The sequence below is a fragment of the Homo sapiens genome, chromosome 1, assembly GCF_000001405.40.
Source record: "Homo sapiens chromosome 1, GRCh38.p14 Primary Assembly".
Classification (NCBI taxonomy): domain Eukaryota; kingdom Metazoa; phylum Chordata; class Mammalia; order Primates; family Hominidae; genus Homo; species Homo sapiens.
In genome coordinates this window covers 185319535-185346820 of record NC_000001.11, presented here as the reverse complement: position 1 = coordinate 185346820, position 27286 = coordinate 185319535, and the positions used below count along the sequence as shown (strand labels likewise).

Genomic DNA, 27286 nt, shown 5'->3' with positions numbered 1-27286 from the left:
CCCATGCTTTAGAGCCTAAACACTAAACTTTGAGAGCCCCTGCTTTAAGAATTTCAAGCTCTGTAAGCAAATCAAATAGAATCATTGGTTCCTGCATAATGAATGATGTGAACAAATTCTAGTTATAGGTCTGAGATATTGACTAGAAAAGGACATTTTTTCTTCTTGCATCTATTTGTTTGAATTATTATAGATGAAATAATTGGTTTTGTGGCACAGAGTTGTCATTCAATCAGAATCATGTGTCATCTGTCCTATCACTGGGACTGGAACTGAGAACTGGAACAGGAACTTTCCTAAAGCCAGCAGTCCTCTGGGTCATGCAGCCCTAAGAACTGCCACTCAGCAGTAACACTCCCAGCCAGAAAAACAACTCAGAAGTTCTGAAAACTGAGAGTTTTCCATGCTTTTGTCTCTAAAACTCACTGTTGTGGAAAAACCTGAATGCAACTGATGTGGGCAATTTGTTGCCTTTACCCACCTAGGGTAGCTGTTCACACTTTCGCTGCAGAAGTGTTGGCATGTTTGAGTACAGGGCCCTACCCTAAAGTCTGCTGAGTGTGTAACAAATTGGAGTTCATGCACTGCCTTCTAAAACCTGAAGAAAAGAAATCTGAATTCTGAACACAGCTGGTCCCAAAGGTTTTCAATAAGGAACTATAAACCTATGTTCCATTTGATTATGGTTACAGCAAAACAGGAACTATGCAGGCGCCACCACTTTGAAACGGGTGAATTATTTTTTCCATGACACTCCCACGTGATAACCCCCCACCTTCAGTTTTTTAGTGTTTGCAAACACTAAAAGCCTAACATTAATTCCAGTAAACAAGTGAATGCATCATACTAATAGGTTTCTCTTTTAAGAAGGATTGTGTACACAGTGGTAACATCAGGGTTACAAACACTAGGAATATAAACAGAAGTATTTTTAAGGTTATACACACTCTTCCCTCTCCATTGTTACCACTTGCAATTTAAATGAATTTAAATCAAAAAATTATTTTTTGAGACCTTCTTATGTGCCAGGCACTAAGGTAGATACATTGTAAACAGAACAGGCATTTTCTCTCATAAGAAAACTAACAAGATTCATGTAGTTACTCATTCATTTACACAACAAATACATTTATTGAATGCCTTCTACAAACCAAGCACTATTCTAGGTGCTAGGGATTTGGCTATTGATAAGGTAGAGAAAAATCACAAATTCTACATCCTAATAGAGAGAGATAGATAATAAGCAAAATAAAAAAATAAGTAAAATAAATAAATACAAAGCAGAGCAGAAAATGGGGAGTGCCAGACTGGGGGATGCTATTTTAAATAGGGGGATCAGAGAAGGCCTCATTGACAAGAAGACATTTTAGGAAAGTGACATAAATGAGAGACTGCCATGGATATTGGGGGGGCGGGGGCTCCAGTCAGAGAATTAACAGGTGCCAAGGTCCTGAGGTAGGGGAGAGTGCTGCCACCTTTGAGGAATAACAAGGAGGACAGGGTGGCTGCAGAAGAGTAAATAAAGAGAAAAATTAGTAGAAGACAAGGTCAAAGAAATGGGAGTAGCTCATGTAGGACCATGTAGGCCACCGTCAAGACTGGATTTTAGTCTGAATGAAATGGAGAGCCTTGGGAGGATTTTGAGCAGTTGAGCAGTTCACTAATACTTTAGAACTTTCTTTTTGCCATGAAAGCACTGTGGAAGAACATCCAGTAAAGCGATTTCCCTCCACTAAGAGGTCTGTGAAGGCCTCCCTGAAGAAATGCCATTGAGACCTGAAGAACTTGTTCTCTGTGGGAGATCAATTCTAAGGTAAAGGGAGAAGCACCCTCTGGCTAAGAGGACTACCTAATGGAAGGGAGAACAGAGCAAGTGGGAGGCTTTTAAAGTCATGATAAGCATCTCATACTTCATCTGCTAAGAGTAATGAGTATGAAATTATTGAAGGTTTTAAGCAAGAGAGCGACATGGTCTGCCCAGGGTTTATAGACACTATCCTGGTTGTTTTTTATAAAATGGAATAGGCAGTGTTTTTAAATTGCAGGCCATCCCTCATCAATGCAAGAGGTTACCAACTAGCTTTTTTTTTTTTTAAAAGAAACATTAGACAACATCAGAATATCCTGCAAGTTGTGAGGGTAAGTATAGTTTGCAGGGAACTTGATTCTGTATATGCACATATGTCTGAAGTTTGAAGTCACTTCGGTTAGAAGGAAGGACCTACAGAAGAGGAAAGCAGTAGAGACTGTGCTGTAACTTTAGTAAAGGTATTGCTGGCTGCTGAGACTAACTAGGGAGAGAAGCAAAAGGGCCCACCTAATGGATGTGGGGCAAAGGGAATGGTCAAGGGCAGTTTCAAGAACTGGATGGATGGAGGCAACATCACTGAAAGTGAGAAGACAGGCGGGGCAAATTATGAGTTAAATTTTCAACATGTTGCCTGCAAGACTTCACAATGGAGATTTTCAGTTTAAAACACATGATGAGGCTGGATACTGAGATTTGGAAGTGGTCAGCATTAATTGTGAAACAAATTTTTTAAGGATTTCGTGACAATTTATTTCATATAATGTTGTAGCCATCCCATGTAATACTTTGGGAGAAATTTATACTTAAAAAAATTGGTGGTATATCCGAATTCATATTTAATAGAGCATCCTGTATTTTATCTGGCAATCTTAGAGTTCAAGTCCCCTGAGAACAGAGGCAGACACACCAGTTAAGACAGAATGACCACAATCCAGGCAAGAGGGAAGAAAACACTAAAACTAGTGTTTCATAGGAATTCTTTGCTTGACATTTTTTAAGAGACTGGGTCTTGCTCTGTCACCAAGGCTGGAGTGCAGTAGGGGATCACAGCTCACTGCATCCGTGAGCTCCTGGGCTCAAGTCATTCTCCTGCCTCAGCTTTCTGATTTACTAGCACTATAGGCACATGCCACCACACCTGGCCTTTTTTTTTTTTTTGGTAGTGACACGGCCTTACTATACTACCTGGGCTGATCACAAACTCATGGCCTCAAGCGATTCTCCCGCCTCAGCCTCTCAAATTTCCTAGATTACAGGTGTAAGCCTCTGTGCCTGGCCTGCTTGCTTAGTATAAATGCAGATTCTCAAATGTAAATTTAAATGATTAACTTTTAAATTAATTATAAGCACAATGCCATCCTACTGACTACTTCTCTGTCAGGGTCGGGATGTATACCTGGTGTCTTGGAGTGTGTGGCTGGCTCCAGCTACGGGGCTCAGATGCATGATGGGCACTGCCGTCTGCTATTGCAGATTCTCACAGAACACGTCACCCTAGAGAGGGAATTGAGAGCTGGTTGGGCTGTCCTAAAGGGACTTAACTGTGGGAAGAAAGATCCGTTTGTGTTTTTCACTTCAATAGAACTTGTTTACAGTGTTGAACTTGACATAAAAACAAAAACTGAATGGTCCTATTGTAGATATAACTTTCCTTCAGGAAAATGTTTAAACCACACACATTCTCAATATGTAAACCCATGATTTTAGTTATTTGGTTAAAAAAAAAAGCCATGGAAAAACAAAATAAAAATAAATGCTACATATCAAAACTATTTCAAAATACATAATATTTTCTTCTTTCAGGGCAGCTGTGCTCCTACTGCCCTGAAGTTTCTTATAATACACACTATAAATGGAATTCCATGGCCTTGATCTATCAGCAAACACTAAAGACCTCACTGTCCCTGGGCTCCGTCTCCAGAGGGCTCCTGGGAAAAAAAAAAAAAAAAGAGCAAACAATTGCATACACATGTACACATTCTCAAAGTGGATTGGCACGTCCCACAATGACAGTATCTTGGTTTTTGCAGGCCTAAGTTCCATGAACAGAAATGTCTACAATGGCAAAAGAATTTTTAAAAACTTGTAAATAGATGTGGAATAGAAACATGACTAAAAAAACATGAGTGACATCTGTCATTTAATCACATGACATCTTCAACACTCACATTCAAATGCAATTTCAGTAAGGGCAGTAATGCTAATCTGGGCTCTGTTTTCTCTTCACAAAGGAGGCGAGGTGAAGAGTCCAAGGTAGCCAGTCAGCATGTTCAAGGGGATGCTGAAAGTATTCAAGCTTTTCATCTTTAAGCTGTCAAGAGCAACTCAGTAACCAAAAGTGGCCATTTCAATTCTTTCATTCATTCAGTAAATACCTACCGAGAGCCAAGTTTTGATATGTGGCATTTATTTTTATTTTGCTTTTCCATGGCTTTTTTTTTTTAAAAAAACCAAATAACTAAAATCATGGGTCTACGTATTGAGAATGTGTGTGGTTTAAACATTTTCCTGAAGGAAAGTAATACCTACGATAGGACCGTAGGCACTGTGATGGGACCTGTGCTTCAAGAATAGAAAAGGCCATTCTGTTGGGGCACAGAAAATGATTCCCCAAAACATAGTGCTTGGACATGCTGAGTGCTTTGAAAATGGAAAGGCCTCAGAAATAAGCCTCAGAAGTAGCCTCAGAACCGAGGTCTCTGTCAGACATTCCCACCTCTGAATCTTTCTGATCTTCCCGCCCAAAGCACCAGGAGGTACTCCCAGAGGAATTTTCTTATCTAAGAAAGCTTCTTTCCAACAGCTTTCCAAAAATTGTCTTAAGACCTCCTCCCTAGGAATCTCATTAAATAACCAGGAAAAATCAACCTCAACCACCAAAGAGAAAAGAAAACAGTGGGAGTTGTCACCATGCCCAGACAGACTTTTAATCTATTCTTCTGAGGCAGTTCCTAGCAATTACCTGGGGGACTTTACCTGCATAAGACAAACTTTGTTCCTGTGCAGTTCTTCCCTCACTTTCCCATAACTTGTCCCATCTAGCTTCCAGAGAGAATCATTTACAAAATAATGTCTGCCTCCTGGGTTCATACATCACTCCCCTATGAAGAGAGTATTTAAGCCTCAACCATCTGGCCCCTCTTTGAGTCTCATACTGTGTGTTTGGCTTCCATGTCTATGCACGTCAAATGAATTTTGTATGCCTTTTTCTCCTATTCTGACTTTTGTCAGTTCATTTTCAGCAAACTTTCAGTGGGTGAAGAGGAAGCTTTCTTTCTGCCCCTACAATATGTAAAGAACTTTACTGCAGAAATCCATACTTTTAAACACTAGTCCTAGGTGCTGTTAAACAAAATTCATGGAAGACCATTGTTTTGAGCTAAGTTCCTGCACTAGGCCCCAACAGACCAAACCAAAATGGAGTCACTCATGCTAAAGTTCCATGCCACCAAATCAAAACTAAGTTGCTTATCTGACCTTCAGAGAAATCAGGAGAGAGAGAGAGAGAATAGCCAAATTCCCAAACAGGCCAGTTTTAGCCAGCATAAGGAAATTCCCTGTTTTTAACTCTTACAAAGAAAGTAACCTGAAGTAATCTGGTGTTAACCTATGAGTCTGAGTTTTATTATGCTGTTTCCTTGTTCCTGATCAAACTACCTTTATAAAAACAGATTTTTCTGCCTTGCCCAGCTTAGCATCTATTTTTAGATTAGATAACACCTGATTCAAGAATTGCAATAAAAGCCAGTTCAATCATTTAAATTTGTTGAAATTTTGTCTTTGACAATGCTATCTTAAAAGAAAGTCAGTATACTAAAACCACCAAATTGTACATTTTAAAAGGTTTAATCCTATGTGAGTTATATTTCAATTTTTAAAAAGTGGTTAAAAAATAAATATAGGCATGGCAGTATGTGTCTGTAGTCCCACCTTCTCAGGAGGCTGAGGCAGGAGGATCAATTGAGCCTAGGAATTTGAACCTATAGAGCACTATGATCACACCGTGAATAGCCACTGCACTTTAGCCCGCACAACACAGACTCTACCTTTAAAAGTAAAATAAAATAACAGTTAAAAGTTTTAAAAAGTGGGAAGCTAAAATGTAATTAGATACTATCCTTTTTTATGCAAGTGGATAGAGGCAGTAAAATTAATACTTTTTAATTAACAAAAAAACCTAGAAATTTTCAAGTTAACCTAAGATACTACCCAAAACCAAACAATATAATTAACGTTTTTTTAAAGACAAAAGAATGAATGTCTTAATTTCAAAGTAAAAACTGATTTCTGACTGCCCAGGAAAAACAAATAAAATGACTGACATCAAGTAAGAGAACAGAAAAGCAAGACGGGGGGAGAGTCTCTAAAATGAAAAGTTTTTCTGGATTCTTGGCCAGCTATTTTTAAAGGGAAATGATTTTCAAAATCCTTAGGAGTAATTTTAAGACAATTTTTAAAATAAAGGCTATGAAAGAACTGCTGGCTCTTTTGTTCCATTACTTAGTAAATTTAAAAAACTAGAAAATTGTTTTATGAATTACCAAGTGCTATCGTTTGAATGTTTGACCCTCGAAACCTCATACTGAAATTGATCCCCCCCGTCAGAGTGGGGCCTAATGGGAGGTATTTGGATCATGGAGATGTATCCCTCACAAATGGCTTGGTGTCATCCTCACAGTAGTGAGTTATTCTATCAGTTACTACAAGAATTCCAGCAAGAGTTCCCCTGAGAGCTAATTGTTAGAAAAGGACCCGACACCTTCTCCCTCTTTCTTGCTTCCTCCTCACCATGTTATCTCTACATGGTGGCTCCCCTTCACCTTGCACCATGAGTGGAAGTTTCTTGAGGCCCTAATCAGAAGCAAATGTTGCCGCCATGCTTCTTGTATTGTCTGCAGCACCGTGAGCCACATAAACCTCTTTATACGTTACCCTGCCTTAGGTATTGCTTTACAGCAACACAAAGATACCAAGTCTGTGTTTTATAAATTACCACATCAAAATAATATGCAGATCTAAGTAAATGAAATTGCCTCCAAGGTTATCTAAAGCCCTACAAGAGTGTTAAAGAAAAAAAAATTCATGACACTTATTAAAGATGGTAAGGAAGACTATTCAAGCGGGGCAGGATGGCGGGCGCTATTACAATGAGGTTTTTGTTATCAGGGGAACGAGATCAGGTTCAACTCCAAGTACAACAAGAAAAAGGGGGAATTTATAGACAGGGAGCACAGTGCAGGAGTAGGTGGATGGAAAATTGCCAAGAGAAAGCATCAAGGGTAAGGGGATTCTCTAGTTAAACAAACATAATGGGATTCTTGCTGAAGGCAGGTCAGGGTGATCTGATGTTACGTAGTGGATGGTGGAGGATGAGAATGTTGATCAGATTTTGAGGATGATCAGATATTAAGGTGGGAGATTCTGGCTAAACTGATTCAGCAGGATTCTTGCTAAAATTGGACACTTGGGGGACTTGCCCAAGGTCACAGAAGCCTGACTAAGTTTTCGTCAAGGGGAGACTCAGTAGCACAGATACAGCCCTAAAAAGGCACTATTACAGATATGGCTGTAAAAAGGCACTGTTTCTCTCATTAAGTTGGAAACCACAAGCAGGAAATGGTCTACAAACGCTGAGGTTTCCTTTCAGATCCTCCTTTCAATCCACGAGCTCAGCTGACCATGTCTTATGCAACTAAGAAAGTTTTTGTGGCAGGAACAAAAGTTAATTTAGGGATTAGGAGTATCCCAGTCTGGCTCCTGAGTCTTCTGCTACCTGAGTTATCTGTAACAAGGTCTTCAGGAAGACAAACTTATAAAGGTAAGCCACTTGGTACATTGTAAATATTCAACAAACATGAAGGCCTAATCTAAGAGCTGCAATCAGATCTGCGTGGGCACATCCCAGACTCAACTGGAGTAAGTGGAGGGGTCTAAAGAAGTGGTCTTCAAACTGGGGTACTCATAACTCTGGGGATATAAAGACCTTCCAAGGGTTCACAGGCATGGATAGCTTAAACAGAAGCAATGTTCAAATCCCCAGCTCCCACGTGTCCTCTCATAACACTGCTCTACAGAAGAGAAGTCTGCAGCGGCCTGTGGTTCCCTTTCCCACATCCTCTCTCGCAACCAAAGGCCCTGCAACCATTTTGTAAAAGAAAGGGAAGGCAAAGCCCCACTGGGACCTAAGCTTCCTGTGTGCTTGCTCCAGGGGTAAACACCTCTGGGCCACCAAGCAGAGGGACCAGGGAATGGAGATTTCGGGAGAGGTAGGGCAAGGTGAAGAAAGCCAAAGCAAGGCTCCATGCCTTTACCCTGATTTTCTCTCCCACCCTCCCCAACATTGTGTCTCTTACATTCAGAAGTGAGGTTGCACAGACATGCATGTAATCACATTTATTTTCAGTAAAAATAAATAAATAAAGTCAACTTTTTCCTGACAGAAACAGCCAGTGTAATTTGATGCAGATAATTTGCTCTATGAACAATTTCTGACCTGAGACAAATCTGAAACTCTGTGATTTTAAGGAAAAGGTATTTAAAGCACGAAGATAATACTGTTAAATAAAAATCACAAGAGGCCATTGTTTTGGACTAAGTTTCTGCACCAGGCCTCAACAGACCAGATAAAAAATCAGAATGGGATCACTCATACTAAAGTTCACTTCTACCAAACTCAAACTAAGTATTTATTTGACCTTCTGAGAAATCAGGAGAAAGAGGTAACAGCTGATTTTCCAAACAAGCCAGTTTAAATCTTCAATCAGTACGAAAAACTTCTACTTAAATCCTTACACATATAAACAGTTAAAAGTTTTAAAAAGTGGTAAGTTAAAATATAATTAGATACTATCCTTTTTTACGCAAGTAGATACAGAGGTAGTAAAACTAAAAATTTTTAATTAACAAAAAACCTAGAAATTGTCAACTTACCCAAAGATAGTACCCAAAACCGAACAATATAATTAACAATTTTTAAAGCCAAAAATGAGTGTCTTAGTTCCAAAGTAAAAACTGATTTCTGACTGCCCAGGAAAAACAAAATGACTGACATCAGGTAAGAGAACAGAAAAGCAAGAGAGAGGAAGATTCTCTAAAATGAAAAGGTTTTCTGGATTCTTGGCCAGCTACTTTTAAAAGGAAATGTTTTTCAAAATACTTAGGAGTAGTTTCAAGACAATTTATCTTTTTTTCTTTTTTTAAATAAAGGCTATGTAAGAACTGTTGGATCTTTTGTTTCATTACTTAGTAAATTTGAAAAAACACACACACACACAAAAGAAGTAGCCTGATGTTAACTAATCAGTTCTCTGTCTCTTTTTTTCTTTTTTCTTTTTTCTTTTTTTTTTAACAGGGGTTCTTGCTCTGTCACGCAGGCTGGAGTGCAGTGGCATGATCGTAGCTTGCTGTAGCCTAGAACTCTTGGCTTCAAGTGATCCTCCCACCTCAACCTCCTGGGTAGCTGGGATTATAGATGGGAGCCACATTTTTTTCTATTATTCTGCTTCCCTGTCCTGCCTTACAGAAAAGTAGCTGTGGAATGACTAATATCCTCTTTGCTCTCTTCGTTTCTGCTTTCTTCAGCCGTCCTCTGCCTACAAAGCTAACTCCTTCTGCTCAGCTCATCAGAACACTTATTATATTTTATGGAATGAAGTGTTGCCCAATTCTAGAACTACAATACAGCCAACTGAGCTATTTAAACTGTTTGTTGTAATTTTGTCTGTTGACAACATAAAATAGATCCTTTACACAATATGTTCATGTTGACTTGAAAATCTGCAAAGAGATACTAAGTTTTACAAGTCTTTTAAAGCTTTTGAGAGCAAAAACTTTGAAGACTATTGGTCTAAGGAACTTAACTGAAAGGTCTACACCAGCTTATACACACGATTTAATGACAAGCACAGGTCTTCTTAAGGAAAAGGTGATTTTGAATGGAGTTAGATTGTTCCCAGCCCAATCTTCAGGAAGCTGTGTCCCTGTCAGGGGAAAAATGGCTTACAAATAGTGCTGGTAAAAAACATGGAGCCACATCACCCAGATATCTGTGGGAAACATCTCAAACCAGCACAGTTTTCAGACAGACAAATGAGGGGTGAAGGACTAGCATCATTATAGTGCCTATGCCAAGAGCCACAGGGCACCAGAAATACCACAAGGTAGCCAGAGAGACCACAGAAATTCAAATCGCTGTCTGACAAACCTTGGGAACCTTCTGCATTAGTTGGGAGAAGTTGTGGGGAGCAGGATGCATGTGGTTCTAGCTCCCTCTATTTCATCCAATCTGTAGGATTAGCATCTCATTGCTGTTCTTGATAGCTCATTGGGCATGGCCTGGGGAAATGCAGGTAACACTTTAGATAAAATGTCTAGAAGTCATTGAATAGTCAATCCCTTTCTTCATTGTCTCCACCTCCAGCCTCCCTCTCTTCCCAATCAAATATGAGGAAACTGAGGCCCAACAAAGTTGAACTGTCAAAAGTTCTGAGGCAGTGCCTGGTCAAAATGAGAAAGGAACACAGACATTTCCATTTCTGTTTCTACTCAGCTCTCCTAATTTCAAGTCCAGAATTTTAGCCACAAACCAGACACTACTGCAAATAAACTCCCAGAAGGACATTACTTTGTATTTTTCTCAAGTTGATTTTTATGTCATTTGGCTAAGACACAGAATTGGATGTGGACAACAAGCTGCGTGTGAAGTTGTAACTCTTCCTGAATCACCAGGTGCACCACTCCACTTGGGCAGCAGCTCACCCATCAATAGGACAAGCCCTACTAGGAGATGGTGGCAGGGATTTGTCTGGATGCTGTGTGATCAACAACGACACAACAAGTACTGGTTTTCTTCCTTCATTCCCAGTCTAGTATACCTCCTCTTGATAGTGTCACCTGTTGTAGGGACTCTGGGAGATCCCTATGGGTAACAGAGGCCCCATTTGTAAAAGGAAAGAAAATTATTTATATTGAGAACTTCATCAAGAATTTTCAGTACTGCTTGGCAAAGTACAGATTAATTAACATGAATTTGTTAATTCATGTTATTAACATGAATAAGAAAGACCAACTATACAATCTCCAGCAGAAATTCTCATACAGACACTATACAAAATTTGAAGACGTACACTTCATGTGCTAAAAGATATTTGTAGACTTCTTTGTCAAGGACTCCTTTCTATGGGGTCCCGGGTTGTACCACATTTCTGCAAAGTTCACACTTCTAATCTAAATCAACGTTACTTGGCTCCCTTGTACACCAGTTTCTTCTAGACCTATAGGGTTACATACATTCTGCACAATTTGACAAAATCTTGTGAATCATTCTATTTCTCAAATTTTTGTTTCTGATCCAATCCAGCTCACAGCACCCTTTACAACTTAACATACTTCCAAGTATAACTTAGAAAGGGGATGGAAACTACAAGGATGGGGAGCTTCACACATTTCCCCCAGATAAGGCAGATATTGCTCATCAATTGCCACATTTGTTTCATGGATTCAGTTGAGGTTCAGTCTCAACTCTTCTCGTCCTAATACTCCAGGCAACACTGACAACTAATTAGAATTGACATCTAAATATCTCAATTAAAATCTATTTGCTTGGGTAAGCATATGCACAGAAGAAAAGAAAGAAAAAATCTATTTTCAACCCCAGGATTAGATTTAATCACTAAAAAATCTAGTTCTTGAGAGTTTTTTGTATTTGGGGTTTTTTTTTTTTTTTTTTTTTTGAAGATGAGGGCTCACTATTTTACCTTGAACTCCTGGGCTCAAGCAATCCTCCTGCCTCAGCATCCCAAATAATTGGGATTACAGGCATGTGCCACTGCACTGGCCTTAGAGTTTGTTGAGGATCCCAAATCTTATTCCTGGCACTTAAATGTTACATTCCCAATGGCAACATTCTTTAGATGACTCCAAAGTTCCACCTCTCTTTGAATACACGTTAGAATTCTAACCTCCTGAGTTTTGACATGTACCAAGAAATATCTTCAGGTGTGGAGATAAGGGACGGTTTATCTATTCCCTCTTTTCCTTTCATTCTTTGGAGTGAGTAGACCTGCTATTTCCCAAAATTTCTACTAAGTTGGCCCTTAGGATTTTAGTTTGATTTGAGTTTAAGGTGGACATCATATCTGTTCATATTTTATCTGACTTATCCACCCTTCAGAACTCTGAGAAATAGTCACTGCATAGTTATTATTAAATATCAACAGACTTGAGAGCTTATCTATGCCCCAGATAGGCAGATATTGAATGAATGAGCATAATTCCATGATGAATAAGCATTATGGAAAAATAAGTCCAAATCTTATTTTTTTTAGGATTTCAGAACCTAAGGAAGATTCTTAGAGTTTGTAACAGAATCAAATGTATCTGGTTCAGTATTTTACCAAGAGTGCTCCTTAGAACAGAAGACCACAAGTTCCCTATATAAAAGGGATCCTGTAATCAAGTTTGGGGACCCTGAATCCAATGTTTCACTGAAATATTCATAGTTTGCATTATCATATTAAATGTTGTTTTAAAAAATACTGCAGTAAATAGATAGGCCTATTCAGTTGTGCCTAAGCCAAACTTCTGGGGAGCACTGAAACTTTGTTTTCTGTTATCTGTTAACAGATGGAATGACTCTTCTAAAGAACACGCTGTAGGAAGTCTGAATATATCCAACCTCTTGCCTCAACCAGAAACGAAACTTACAATGTGAAAGACGATGACCACCCTTTATAAAACATCCTCAGGTCTGAAAAGGCTACCAATTCCCTTCATGACCTCTGTCTAATCCCCACAGGGTCAAGTTCTTACTTTGTCTAATCGAACTCTCTCTTGCAACAATTCATTCCCTGCATGTTATCTTTTCCCTCTTACTCTCTCCCTTGTGGATATGGAGAAGTCAACAGCCTTCTCTTTAAGAAAACCATCCACAAAGGCTTAAAAAAAAAAAAAGAAGCAAATATGAGAATATTCCTCCCTAGATTAATGAGTTTCTCATTGCCTTTAAGACAATCCAAATGCTGGGACTGCCCTTTCTATTTCATAGAATGGGTTGTTGCCTGATTCTAAAAAATAAAACTAATAATAATAAAAAGACAATCCAAATTCTAAGGAATAACAGTTGCAAGCAAGGCACCCTTTTCCTTCCCTGTTCATCTTCTTCTTTCTTTCTTTTTTTTTTTTTTTTTTTTTTTTTAAGAGACAGGGTCTTGCTATGTCTCCCAGGCTGATCTGGAACTCCTGGGCTCAAGCAATTTTCCTGTCTCAGCCTCCTGAGTAGCTGGGATTACAGGCATGCACTACTGTGCCAGCTTCACCTCTCTTTCTTTGGCATCCAACCTGCTTTCTTCTTACCCCCTGTCCATCATACTCTATTTAGGAGTCCTCAAATATACTGTTTCTATTTTGCACATGCTTTCTAAAATGCCTTCCCCTATCCACCAGGTAAACTCATACCCATCTTTCAGTCTCAGGTCAAATCCCACCTTCTCTGGAATCTTCCCTGATCACTGGCTCACCTGCCCTTCTTCCAGGCTCCAATAGCATTTGGAATCTTTCTTCCCTCAGCATATCACAGTGATTATAGACATATATTTCAATATCTAACTTCGACCCCATAGGACAAAACCTTACCACAGTACCTGGTGTATGATAAGCATGTAATCAATATTTGCTTAAGGAATTAAACAGGACCCTCTGCTTGGCCATAGCCCTTGTCCAGCCTTGCGTGGCATGAGATTGGAGAAGACCTTCAAGCAGTGTCACTCCTTCGAACAAAGAGTGGGGGTCCCACTTATCTGACAGCAGCATCCTACCAAAATCCCAGTGACAAAAGAATGACACAGGCGTGAAAAGCAGCTTCCTGTCCTGGAAAAACCAAGTAATTTTGTACCTGATCAGGTCAACATGAGTAAACTCGTCAAGATAATTAGAAGGCCCTTAAAGCTCGATAGTAATCAAGCCCTCTTCCTAGTGGTGAGCAGAGACAGCTTGGTGAGTATTTCCATGCTGATTTATGAAGTGTATGAAAGTGAGAAGGATGAAGACGAATTCCTGTATGTGATAGTATATACCTCTAGGGAGACATTTGGAGTGAAGCTGTCATTATAAGACTAGAAACACACACACACAAAATGCATCTATTCCAGAATGTTTAAATCATTCCCAGAGTCGGGGGGAGGGGGGGAAGGATAACAAGGGGATGTTACCAATTGAGATTGATCAGTTCATCTAATCACAGATCATCAAAACAGCAGTGTTCCCACCTAGGAGTTTAGAAAGTTGCATTTGCATTTAAAGCAGAAAAACTGAGCTCTGAATGAGCAAATTCAATTTTAGAAAACTATATTATTTATCCTAGGCTATCTTGTTTTCAAATTTTAGAAGTTCAAAAATAAAATACTTTGCATTTGATGTTGCCAGTGAAATAATTCTTCAAGTTCTTTTAATGCTCCTTTCCCCAGCCCCCTGCCCCCCAAATAGGCACTTGCAATTGGAGCAGTAACTTAAAGGCATTCAGAGAGACAATGAGTCTTCTCTTTAGGTTCATAGAACCTGCCACGTTTTATCAGAAGGATTCTTACCTAACTAGAGAAATCTGCTTAAGAAGATCTCTAAGCATAAATAGTCCAGCAACCCCCTCCAAAATACATTTGCCATAAGACTTGGCACAAAGCAGGGAAAATGGGGGCATATAAGAAAATGAGACTGACTGTGAACTGCTGTTAAAGATTCCTAATTCCTAATAGAAATATACCAAAAGGCAATGCTCTTGCAGTGTTAGAAAGTTCTTATTTGGTTTGTTCTTTAGACAATTAGTTACACAGAAAAACACCACTACTGTATAGGAACTTTGAATAATTTATAAATTTGGTCTAGTTTCTTTAAAGGCCCTACAGAAAAAGAGGGGAATTTCTTGTTTTGTATTTTCTCTAATCTAAGAGCTCAAACTACTGCCTGCTTTGGTAAATGAAGAAGCAGTTGTATCTCTTTCATTCTTTAGGATAATATTAGAAACTATAGAAAATGAAAACTAAAATCATTAAAATTTAGATGCATTCCTTTCTACCTCTTAGCACAGTTATAGATGACCCACATTTTGTGTTAAGTATGTGACTAAAATGTATTAGTAAAAAGTAGTTCAGTCATGACTGTTAGGTCAAACAACTATCAAAATTATCCCACTCTGATAAAAGACTACAAATTGGGTTCGATGTATACTGCTCGGGTGATGGGTGCACTAGAATCTCACAAATCACCACTGAAAACTTACTCATGTAACCAAATATCATCTGTTTCCCCAAAAAACTATGGAAATAAAAATTTTTTTTTAAATCCCCCACTCTAAGTGCAGGTCAGTTGTGAGGAAAACATAGCAAAAGGAAACATGCTCTTTACAAATATTAATGTCAAGAGTTAAACATCTTCCAGGCTCAAACTAGAATAAGCTACCAGTGCTTCCCACTGCCTACATGGGGTTCGCTATTTACTATTTTCATGGGAGTATCACAGAAAGATCGCAGTTATACCACTTTAGGTTATACATGTAGCAGGTCATAATTTACTCTGTCTACTGAATATGTATGGAATACCTGTATCTGTTAGTGAAAGTTATTTTCTTTAATGGAACAGGGAAAAGCAACATAACTGTACATGAACCCTCAACTGATCATTAAAGGGATTCCCATCACCTACTCTCCTCGCTGCAGGTGTCTGTCCACATGTCTCACTTTTGAAATGGACTATACTTTTACATTATGTAAGTTTTTTGTTGTTGTTTTTGTTATTGTTGTTTTGAGATGGCGTTTCGCTCTTGTTGCCCAGGCTGGAGTGCAATGGCGCAATCTCGGCTCACCGCAACCTCTGCCTCCGGGTTCAAGCAATTCTCCTGCCTCAGCCACCCGAGTAGCTGGGATTACAGGCATGCACCACCACACCCGGCTAATTTTGTATTTTCAGTAGAGACAAGGTTTCTCTGTGTTAGTCAGGCGGGTCTCAAACTCCCTACCTTAGGTGATCTGCCCACGTCGGCCTCCCAAAGTGCTGGGATTACAGGTATGAGCCACTGCGCCCAGCCGACATTATGTAAATTCTTAATCAGCCTGTCTGGTTTGGATTGTATATGTCATCACATCTGACATTCTTGTAACTACTAGTGATCAATAAGACTCCTATAAGAAATACTGCTTGAAAAAAAAATACTACGTTGAGAGGTGACCTATATCCCACATAAGCAGATAGTCATTTATAGGATCTTTAAAACAAGTATATTTTTAATGAAATAGAGTGACTAAAGGCACAACTGTCAAAAAAAAAATGTCAGAACTTTGGTGGATGTATAAAGTCACAGTATTAGTGATAATTTCAGACTTCTCCCAGAAAATTCTCCCAATAGTAGCATTGCTAAGAATTCTCAAAGACGTAAACCACTTTTGACTGGACTATTACTTTAGAACTCTTTTTATTAGAGAACTATGTTTCAGGCACTAGGAGGAACACATTCTTTTTAATGTTGAAGGACTTTGGGTTCTGTAGAAGAAAACATTTTTATTACCTTTATAGTTAGGTATATAACATATATCAGAACATAAAACATTAATAAAGATAGTCACATACTTTATAAAGACTAGTGAAAATGATTACTAAAAATAATGTAGGCTGGGCACAGTGGCTTAGGCACGTAATCCCAGCAGTTTGGGAGGCCAAGGCAGGTGGATCACTTGAGTTCATGAGTTGGAAACCAGCCTGGGCAACATGCTGAAACCCCATCTCTAAAAAAAATACAAAAATTAGCTGGGCATGGTGGTGTGCACCTGTGATCCCAGCTACTCAGGAGGCTGAGGTGGAAGATGGTTTGAGCCCGGGTGGTAGAGGATGCAGTGAGCCAAGATTCTGCCACTGCACCCCAGCCTGGGTAACAGAGCCAGGCCCTGTCTCTAAATAAATAAATAAATAAATAATGCAAACCTGCTTTTTTTTTGAGACAGAGTCTCGTTCTGTTGCCCGGGCTGAAGTGCAGTTGCGTGATCTTGGCTCACTCCAACCTCCATCTCCCGGGTTCAAGTGATTCTTCTGCCTCTGCCTCCCGAGTAGCTGGGACTACAGGCATGTGTCACCATGCCCAGCTAATTTTTTTTATATTTTTAGTGGAGACGGGGTTTCACTATGTTGGTCAGGCTGGTCTCAAACTCCTGACCTCAAATGATCCACCAACCTCAGCCTCCCAAAGTGCTAGTATTACAGGTGTGAGCCACTGTGCCTAGCCAAACCTGCTATTTTGGATTGCTATGTAAAAGGAATAAGAAGATTTCTTTAGCCACATCTATAGAACAGTAAAATTCAGAATCACAAACATAACTATGCATCCAAACATAACATTGGTGAATTTGTCAAAACAATTAACTATATTTTTTATTGTTCTCAGTAGCCAGGAGGATCCCAGAATGGGACATTAATAAATTCTTTCAGTTATCAGCACTCACTGGAATAAATCCATCTTGAGAAAATATGCCAAGAACATAGCAGTTCTGACGACAATGCACCACAGGCAACGGTTTAAGTTGAGAAGTGGGATGCATTACAAAAGCCAGGACTATTGGGTTACAAGTGATGAAAAGCCAAGTCACCTGGCTTAAAAAAAAAAAAAAAAGGAAGTTAATTGACGTATGTAAGTATAAGTCTAAGCATTGACTTCATGACTGGATCCAGGCCCAATGTCACCGTACCTTGGCCTTGGCCTCTCTTCATCTTACAACCCCTTTCCTCTTTACTCAAAGGCAGCTTCTCTCCAAGTGACGGCCCCAGCAACACCAGGCATATATCTCCCAGATTCCTGTCCAGTCAATATGCAAGGATTCATTCTACTTGGATCAATTTTGGTCACATATCCATTAATGAACATTCACTGTGGCTAAAGGGTTGTAGTCCCAGAAGGAGGAGTGAATGCTAGACAGCCAGAAAAAATAAATTTCCACCATGGTAACTGCATAACAAATTTTATATTGCTTTTCAGATGTGTAAATACCTCAGATCCTAGTTCTTAAAAATTAGACATCCTGAATTCATGGAGCCATCTGTCACATCATCATGGTTATCTCAAATTCAAGTGTTCTCTTTGTGACAATTAAAGCATGCTAGCTTTATTTGTGAGAAGGTTCTTATTTAACAGCATGCTGTATGAAGTTTTGTTTTGTTTATATTTTAGCCTAAGTCTCAAAGCTGAAAATAAGAGACAACTATCCCCATATTTTAAAGAGAAGTGTCTGACACATCCATGCCACTTAGTATAAAAAGCCAGATCAGTCTAGTATTTATAAAACTCTTACCTCCAGATTCTATATGCCAAAGTCAATGAGAACAGGAATTCAAAAGAGTAAAGAATGTGTTGGCCTTTTTTCACCCCTTCTCATAGAGGGGAGAAGGGAGATATGGTTAGGCTTTTTGTCCCCACCCAAATCTCATCTTGACTTGTAATTCCCATAATCCCCACATGTCAAGGGAGAGACTAGGTTGGGGCAACAGAATCATGGGGGCGGATTCCCCCATGCTGTTCTTGTGATAGTGAGTTCTCACAAGATCTGATGGTTTCGTAAGGGGCTCTTCCTGATTCACTCGACACTTCTCCTTCCTGCCACCTTGTGAAGAAAGTGCCTTGCTTCTTCTTCACCTTCTCCCATGATTGAAAGCTTCCTGAGGCCTCCCGAGCCATGCTGAACCATGAGTCAATGAAACCTCTTTCCTTTATAAATTACCCAGACTTGGGCAGTTCTTTATGGCTATATGAAAACAGACTAATACAGTGTATTATCTCCCAACCTCCCTCATAAAGACGGAAGGCACCTGCAGAAGGTGAAACAGACACCTAGCTTCCCAACAGAAGTATAATGTATCAGATGGTGAGATGAGAAAAATAAAGCAGAATAAGGAAATGATGGTTGTGGGCATGTACCACCTGAGACGGGGTAGTTAGGGAAGGGCTTGCTGATAAAGTGACATTTGAGCAGAGGCTTAAAAGTGAGGGAGCAAGCCACGCTAGCTGGAGGGAAAAGCTTTAAGCAGAAAGAAGAGTAAATCCAAAGGTTCTTGGAAAATGGTTAATATATTCTGGGATGGAAAGAAAGACACTGGAACTGGAAAGAAATGAGCAGCAAAGAAAGTGGCAGGAATTAAGAAGACAGATTAAAATGGAGTTGCCATTTACTACCATGTGGTAAAGAGTAAAGTAAAAGTCAGAAAAAGATCACACTCCCCATGCCCACTGTGGGTTCCTGAGCCTTGGGAAGTAAGGGAAGCCAGGGAAAACTTTGAATTAGATGTGAGATTAAAGTCTTGATTTAGACCTAACTGTATTTGTTTTACTTTTACTATCTGAAAATAAACCTTAAATATCCAAAAGGACTAAAAGTTTTTGGGATCTTAAGGTTTATCTAAAAGGCAAGAATGAAAGAGTTATCAGCGAATGTTTGAAGATCAGAAAAAAATAAACCCACTCCCCATTTGTACCCCACAGATTCTACCCTATTCAATAAACTGGTTACTTTCTAAAAAATCCAAAACTTCACAACACATCTGTAAACTTCACGGTATTCAGCACAATGCTTTACACAAAACAGACACTCAGTAAATATTTGCTATAGCCCATCAAGTAGGCCAATATGCCATTTGGGAGAGTAAAAATGATGTGGCACTAGATTAACGGTCAGATAAGAGAGAGGTGGGGTAGGGCTTAACCTTCTAAATTGCAAAGTTCAAAATTTGAGATTGTAGACTTTGCATGTGGTCTTGACTTTTAATCAGAGTCACCTACAAACAACTTACTGCAAACTTGATAGAATGAGTAACCAGTCTTTAGCACTGAACCTATGTTTGCAATTTGCTAGTTTCAAATGCACGGTGTGGACTCAAGGAAATACAAACAGCTACTGTATTATAAAATGAAATAAATTGAACAGAAAGAATAGGATACAAAAAGGATACTTTTAAAAAGTGACAGAGATCACTAAATTGGCTATTTCCATTTCCATTTTTGACTTAAACAAATCAAAGTTTGTTTCCTTTTCACATAGAGGAAGTCTAGAGTTTGGGAGTCCAGAGCATGTATGGCAGCTTAAAGGTCACTGGGAGCTAGATTTGTTCTATGGCACTTCTCGGATCATCCTTGGTGTGTCACCTCATGGTCTAAAATGGTAACTTGAATTCAAGACACTTTTTCTAAGCCTATCAGCTCATTTGGAAGTAACATAGGAAGCACTATACCCTTTTGTTTGTAAAACAAATATTCTAAAAAGCTTTCAATTCATTCTGACTTGCCTAACCTTTCAATAACTTGAATTTCATTCTTTATACCACTTTAAGTATAAAGTGGTATAGTATGGCAAAGAAATGACCATGGTTCTTTGATATCTTTGAAGATTTTCTTAACCTATATGTAACTGGCTTTTCTGATATAGACCCTAAGGCATGTCTACATTACTATTCCATTGGGTGAGGGGGCATCATGCTTTAAACTTGGTGAGACCAATAAGAGATTATCTAGAAATTTCTATATACAGTAGTGACAATGTGGTCAATTAATGAAGCCAATTTCCCAGTAGACAATCTGGTACCTTTAAAAAATGTATATAAACTAAAAGATATTTCTCTTTCATTTATATTTAACATGCAAATTGGACATCCATAAATTCATTCCAGATAGAGTAAAACTAATAAAAGTTGTATGATTCAGTAGATCTTAAATCATTTAAGACACTATAAGTTCTTGAAGAAAGCATTTTAAAATTTACAGGATCCTCTTAAAAGCAAAGAAAATATTAGTTCTTTGCAGAAAAGGAAATTTCCTATTCAATTGACATAAAGAAAATCACTTCTAGGCTGGGCACGGTGGTGGACGCCTATAATCCCAGCACTTTGGGAGGCCAAAGCGGGTGGATCACGAGGTCAGGGGATCGAGACCATCCTGGCCAACATGGGGAAACCCTGTCTCTACTAAAAATACAAAAATTAGCTGGGCGTGGTGGCAGGTGCCTGTAGTCCCAGCTACTCGGGAGGTTGAGGCAGGAGAATAGCTTGAACCTGGGAGGCAGAGGTTGCAGTGAGCCGAGATCACGCCACTGCACTCCAGCATGGTGAAAGAGCGAGACTCTGTCTCAAAAAAAAAAAAAAATTAAAAAGAAAATCACTTCTAAAAGTTCAATTCATCTATTTTTTTAGAAGACAAAAATTATGTGCAAAAACACTGGGATAGAAATTACAGCTAGATGCAAAATGAACCATGGTCTTTATCCCCACAGACCACAAAGCAAAATACGTTTCCCTTTCCATTCCCACAGTAGTTTCCTATTAACAGAGAGAGCTACAAGAGGCACAGATGATTAGGACATGAATTCATTCAACACTTCTGAGGTCAGAGGCACAGCCCACTTAGGAGTCTGGACTGCTTCCATGTACTCAAAGATCGTAATCACTTAATTCTTTTTTTTTTTTTTCCCCTCTGTAGCCCAGGCTGGAGTGCAGTGGCATGATCTCGGCTCACTGCAACCTCTGCTTCCCGGGTTCAAATGATTCTCCTGCCTCAGCCTCCCAAGTAGCTGGGGCTATAAGAATGTGCCACCATGCCCAGCTAATTTTTGTATTTTTGGTAGAGACGGGGTTTCACCGTGTTAGCCAGGATGGTCTCGATCTCCTGACCTCATGATCCTCCCATCTTGGCCTCCCAAAATGCTGGGATTACAGGCGTGTACCACTGCACCCAGCCTCACTTAATTCTTAAATTTGTAAGTATAAAAGTACCCTGCGTTGGATTAAGTATCAAATAAATGTTACTAATGATATGTCAGGGTTCGTAGATTTGGAAGAAAAGCTATATATGCTGGAGTAATTGGAGGAAGCCTTAAAATAAATAAGTAAACAAATACTCATAACACTATATGTCAAGTACATATATAGGTTGGTGCAAAAGTAATTGCAGTTTTGGCCATTAGAAGTAAACATTTGCACCAACTTTATTTCTGTGAGATAAGTTTTATTGCTCCCATTTTAAATATTAGAAAACAATCACCAAGAAGACAAGAGATCTGACTTAGGTAGTTGAGTAACAGAGCCAAGATTTGAGACTAGGCCTCAAGTCTAGCATTCTTTCAATTATACCAGCCCACTTCTTGGAAATGAAAAGGTACTAACTGGGTCTAAAAGGACAGGAGCAAGGTATTGAGAACAGAGAAGTGCTATTGTGGGACAAGGGTGACTCAGGCATAGTGACCCAATAAGGCCTGTTGGTAGAATATCTTGCCACAATAGTTTTCCTTTCACATTTTTCTTTTTAGTAAGATATTGGAGATGGTTGAGAAAGAAAACATTTCATTCAATAATTCGTTCCCCAATGGCACCGATTTTGGAGTAGTACAGCAGGGAGGAATTATTTTCAAGGGGCAGGAACCTCTAGCTAACAGCTTTGTGACTTTCTTTCATAGTTAGAAAGTCTAATTCAGGCCGGGTGCCCTGGCTCACGCCTATAATCCAGGCACTTTGACAGGCCAAGGTGTGTAGATTGCTTGAGCTCAGGAGTTCAAGGGCAACATGGCAGAACCCTGTCTCTAGAAAAAATACAAAACTTAGCAGGGGATGGTGGCACGCGCCTGTAGTCCCAGCTACAGGGAAGTCAAGGCTGCAGTGAACTGTGATTGTGCCACTGCACTCTAGCCTAGGTGACTGGAATGAGACCCTGTCTCAAAAAAAAAAAAAAAGAAAGTCCAGTTCACTCAACTCTTGCAAAACATCATTTTCTCCTTGTACTTTACTCTGCTCATCTTTAGACAATAAGAATACAAGAAAGGAGAACTCATGTTTACAACCCAACAGCTCTGTTCTTTCTGGTTTTTTTCATTGAAGTAGTCTCTTGACTTCATGTTGAGTGATCAGTTTACACAGGCAACAGTTGGCTAGCTAGTCCAATTGAATTATTATTCTTTTTGTTTTTATTTCCTGCAGCACTACTTCCTGAAGAGTCCAACTGAATTATATTGGGTAACTTTCATTCACCAGGTATCCAGTTTTGAATGCGATCACAACAAAAGATCTCTTTCTGAATTGTATAGATTGTGCTATATGTTACCACACTTTTGTTTATACATTTAATTTAGTGATTACATTAAAAACTCAGCTTAGTATAAAGGCTGCTTATTCCATGCCTTGCTCATTCTCAGCAATCAAGTTGATTAAAAAATAAGGTTTTTTGATTGAAGCCTAGGCTATACATCAGAGTTCACAGCTGAATATGACATTTCCAAAGATGGAGCAGGCTTGAAGGTTATACAGTGTTACAGGATACATGCTTGAATGACATAAGAAGTTTTAATTCCTAAGAAACTGTTGAAAGAAAGAGCAACTATTAGGGAATCCTGGTTGTTGGATGAGGAGGCTAGAATTGTTCTCAAAAACTTTAACAGTAATTACTTTAGAAAACTAGCAAAAAGTTATTAGTAAAAGTTTGCTTGGATAATGTAATAGCCGACAGGAATAATTCAAGACCGAAGTATTCTGAGGCATGTATTTGGAGAATTATAACCCTTGGATTTTTTATTTTTTAGAAAGGGGGTCTCACTCACTATGTTGCCCAGGCTGGTCTTGAATTCCTGGGCTCAAGAGATCCTCCTGCCTCAGCATCCCTAGTAGCTGGGGTTACACAGGCAGGCACCACCTTGCCCAAATCCTTGAATTTTATTTTTTTTTGTAATAATCACAGTTTGCCTTATTCTGATGAGGTATTTATGGAAGCCTTATCTGGAAAATGGAAGATTTTCTCTGAAAGGGAATACTAATTTTAAAAGCCTTTTTTTTTTTTTTTTTACAGAGGCATCAAGTTCTCAATTTATTATACATTGTAACACAATTTCCAATGACCTACTTTAGTGGAAGTAAGTATGGGCGTTTCAAGATTTTTCCCTAGGCTTCTTGTGACTTTTATGACACTACCATTTTCTTGTTTTGGCTCTTAAGACACCATTAATATACCCGAACAATATTTTCAAGTGCCAAAAGGAAAGAAGAGAAAGAAATTGAGAACAGTAGCACTGACTGCAAGGGATGAAAGAAATATACGACAGAAGAGTCAGTCACTTAGAGTACAGGAGAAGCTAGCAGACTGGAGGAGGCAGGCAAAGCATTGCTTTTTTGCCAAGTCACAAATTGGCAACAGCTTTTCATTAGGCAAATGACACCCAGAAAATGCAGACAGTTGATCAAAAATAATGTAATGTGGCACAGAAGTTTTAAAATGTAAATAAGATTCCAACTTAAATTAAGACTATGACTGGTAAACTGAATTGCTAAGTAGCAGTATTGAATAAAATCAGCTTATCATAATTAGCATGGTTAATAAATAAGAGAGATAACTAATATCCGAGGAGAAATGGAGCATGTTCATACGCCTAGAAAATGCTTTTGCGTTTGCAGTGGTTTTCAGGCTTTAGTAGAGGTACAAGATGCTATGGTGTTTGTCAGAATGTAGGTTTCCAGGCCACTTTCCTAGAGACTAGACTTACCAATTTTAGGACAGGGTTTCTCAATCTTGGCACGACTGACATTTCAGGTGGAATCATTTTTTGCTGTGGGACAGTGTCCTGTGCTTTGTAGGATGTTCAACAGCATTCCAGGTCCACTAGATACCTGTAGTACGTCTCCCCCAGTCATGTTTCCAGGGATTGCCAAATATTCCCCAGGGGAAAACCACTCTCTTCCTTTGAAAATCATTAGTCTAGGGTAAAGCCTAAGTGAGAGGTGACAGCATGCTGGCAGTCCTCACAGCCCTCGCTCGCTCTCAGTGCCTCCTCTGCCTGGGCTCCCACTTTGGCGGCACTTGAGGAGCCCTTCAGCCCGCGGTTGCACTGTGGGAGCCTCTTTCTGGGCTGGCCAAGGCCAGAGCCAGCTCCCTCAGCTTGCGGGGAGGTGTGGAGGGAGAGACGCGGGTGGGAACCAGGGCTGCCCATGGCGCTTGAGGGCCAGCGCGAGTTCCGGGTGGGCATGGGTTCGGCGTGTCCCGCACTCAGAGCAGCCAGCCGCCCCGCCATCCCTGCCGGCCCTGGGCAGTGAGGGGCTTAGCACCTGGGCCAGCAGCTGCTGTGCTCGACTTCTCGCTGGGCCTTAGCTGCATCCCCGCGGGGCAGGGCTCGGGAACTGCAGCCCGCCATGCCTGAGCCTCCGCCGCCCAACCGTGGGCTCCTGAGCAGCCCGAGCCTCCCCCACGAGCGCCGCCCCCTGCTCCACGGCGCCCAGTCCCATCGACCACCCAAGGGCTGAGGAGTGCGGGTGAACGGGGTGGGACTGACAAGCAGCTCCACCTGTGCCCCTGTGCAGGATCCACTGGGTGAAGCCAGCTGGGCTCCTGAGTCTGGTGGGGACTTAGAGAACCTTTATGTCTAGCCAAGGGATTGTAAATACACCAATGGGCACTCTGTATCTAGCTCAAGGTTTGTAAATACACCAATCAGTACCCTGTGTCTAGCTCAGGGTTTGTGAATGCACCAATGGACACTCTGTATCTGGCTACTCTGGTGGGGACTTGGAGAACCTTTGTGTGGACACTCTGTATCTAGCTAATCTAGTGGTGACGTGGAGAACTTTTGTGTCTAGATCAGGGATTGTAAACGCACCAATCAGCATCCTGTCAAAACGGACCAATCAGCTCTTTGTAAAATGGACCAATCGGCTCTCTGTAAAATGGACCAATCAGCAGGATGTGGGTGGGGCCAGACAAGAGAATAAAAGCAGGCTGCCCAGCCAGCAGTGGCAACCCGCTGGGGTCCCCTTTGATCCTGTGGAGGTTTTGTTCTTTCACTCATTGTAATAAATCTTGCTGCTGCTCACTCTTTGGGTCCACACTGCCTTTAAGAGCTGTAACACTCACCGCGAAGGTCTGCAGCTTCACTCCTGAAGCCAATGAGACCATGAATGCACCAGAAGGAAGAAACTCCGAACAAGTCTGAACGTCAGAAGGAACAAACTCCGGACACGCTGCCTTTAAGAACTGTAACACTCACCGCTAGGGTCCATGGCTTCATTCTTGAAGTCAGTGAGACCAAGAACCCCCCAATTGTGGACACATAAGGACCTGCATTTCTAGGAAGAATACACAGGTGATTCCAAAGAATGTGTTCAGTGGACCACACTTAAAAAATGAACTAAGGTTTTATGAGTTGAGCTGTGTTCCCTCAACATTTGTATGTTAAAGTCCTAACCCCCAGTATCTCAAAATATGACCTTATTTGGAAACACAGTAGTTGCAGGTTTAGTTAAAATGATGTCATACTGGAGTAGGGTGGGCCCCTAATTCAATTAACCCTGGTGTCCACAGAAAAAGGGGAAATCTGAACAACAGATACCCAGACAGGGAGAACATGTGAAAACTGGAGTTATGTTGACAAGCCAAGGAACTACCAGAAGTTAGGAGAGTGGCCTAGAGCCTTCAGAGGGAATAGGGCCCTGACAATACCTTGATCTCAGACTTCTAGCCTTCCGAACTGTAAGACAAATTTCTGGAGGGTTTTTGTTTTTGTTTTTTTAGAAACAAGGTCTTACTCTGTTGTCTGAATGCAGTGGCACGATCATAGCTCACTGCAGTCTTGAACTCCTGGGCTCAAGTGATCCTCTCCCCACCACCAGTAGCTGGGCTTATAGGTGCAAGCCATCATGCTTGACAACTTTCTGTTGTTTAAGCCATTCAGTCTGTTATGGCAGCCCTAGCAAACTAATACATCAAGAATAAACAAAACACAAGTCAGTTAAGGATGGAGACAACATCTGAAGCAGGATCAGGGTGAATAAAGAAAAGATGGCAGATTGACACCAATTCCTGATTATCTTTCTCAGGACCTGACACAAAATAGGTATGCAAGAAATTCATAATTTTTATTAAGCACTCTCCAAATAAATCTTACCTAAGTATAGTAGTCACCCCCACCCCCTTATGCCTGGTGGATGTGTTCCAAGACACTCAGTGGATGCCTGAAACCTTAGTATTGAACTCTAAATGCACTATGTTTTTTCCTATACATACATACCTATGATAAAGTTTCACTTATAAATTAGGCACAGTAAGATATTAACAACAATAATAATAAAATAGAACAGGCTGGGCGCCATGGCTCATGCCTGTAATCCCAGCACTTTGGGAGGCCGAGGTGGGCAGATCACCTGGGGTCAGGAGTTCGAGACCAGCCTGGCCAACACAGCAAAACCCTACCTCTACTAAAAATACAAAAATTAGCCAGGCGTGGTGGCGGGCACCTGTAATCCCAGCTACTCGGGAGGCTGAGGCAGAAGAATCACTTGAAACCTGGAGGCGGAGGTTGCAGTGAACTGAGATTGTGCCATTATAGTCCTGGTTGGGAGACAAGAAGCTCTGTCTCAAAAAATAATAATAATAAAATAAAACAATTTTAAGAGTGTACTGTAATAAAAGTTATGTATGGTCTCCCTCTCAAAGCA

General features: G+C 40.2%; 1 long non-coding RNA gene and 1 pseudogene across 2 annotated transcripts in view; one reads left to right on the top strand and one right to left on the bottom strand.

Moving 5' to 3' along the window:
- The window catches only part of CBSLR (CBS mRNA stabilizing lncRNA), a 58849-nt gene that overhangs the window by 29480 nt on the left and 2083 nt on the right, over nt 1–27286 (bottom strand). The window lies entirely within an intron of this gene.
- GS1-279B7.1 (microtubule associated protein 1 light chain 3 beta pseudogene) lies at nt 11782–22975 on the top strand (annotated as a pseudogene). Its single transcript, NR_038424.1, has 4 exons — nt 11782–11860; nt 12434–12555; nt 13519–13801; nt 22793–22975. The product of NR_038424.1 is annotated as a microtubule associated protein 1 light chain 3 beta pseudogene (transcript).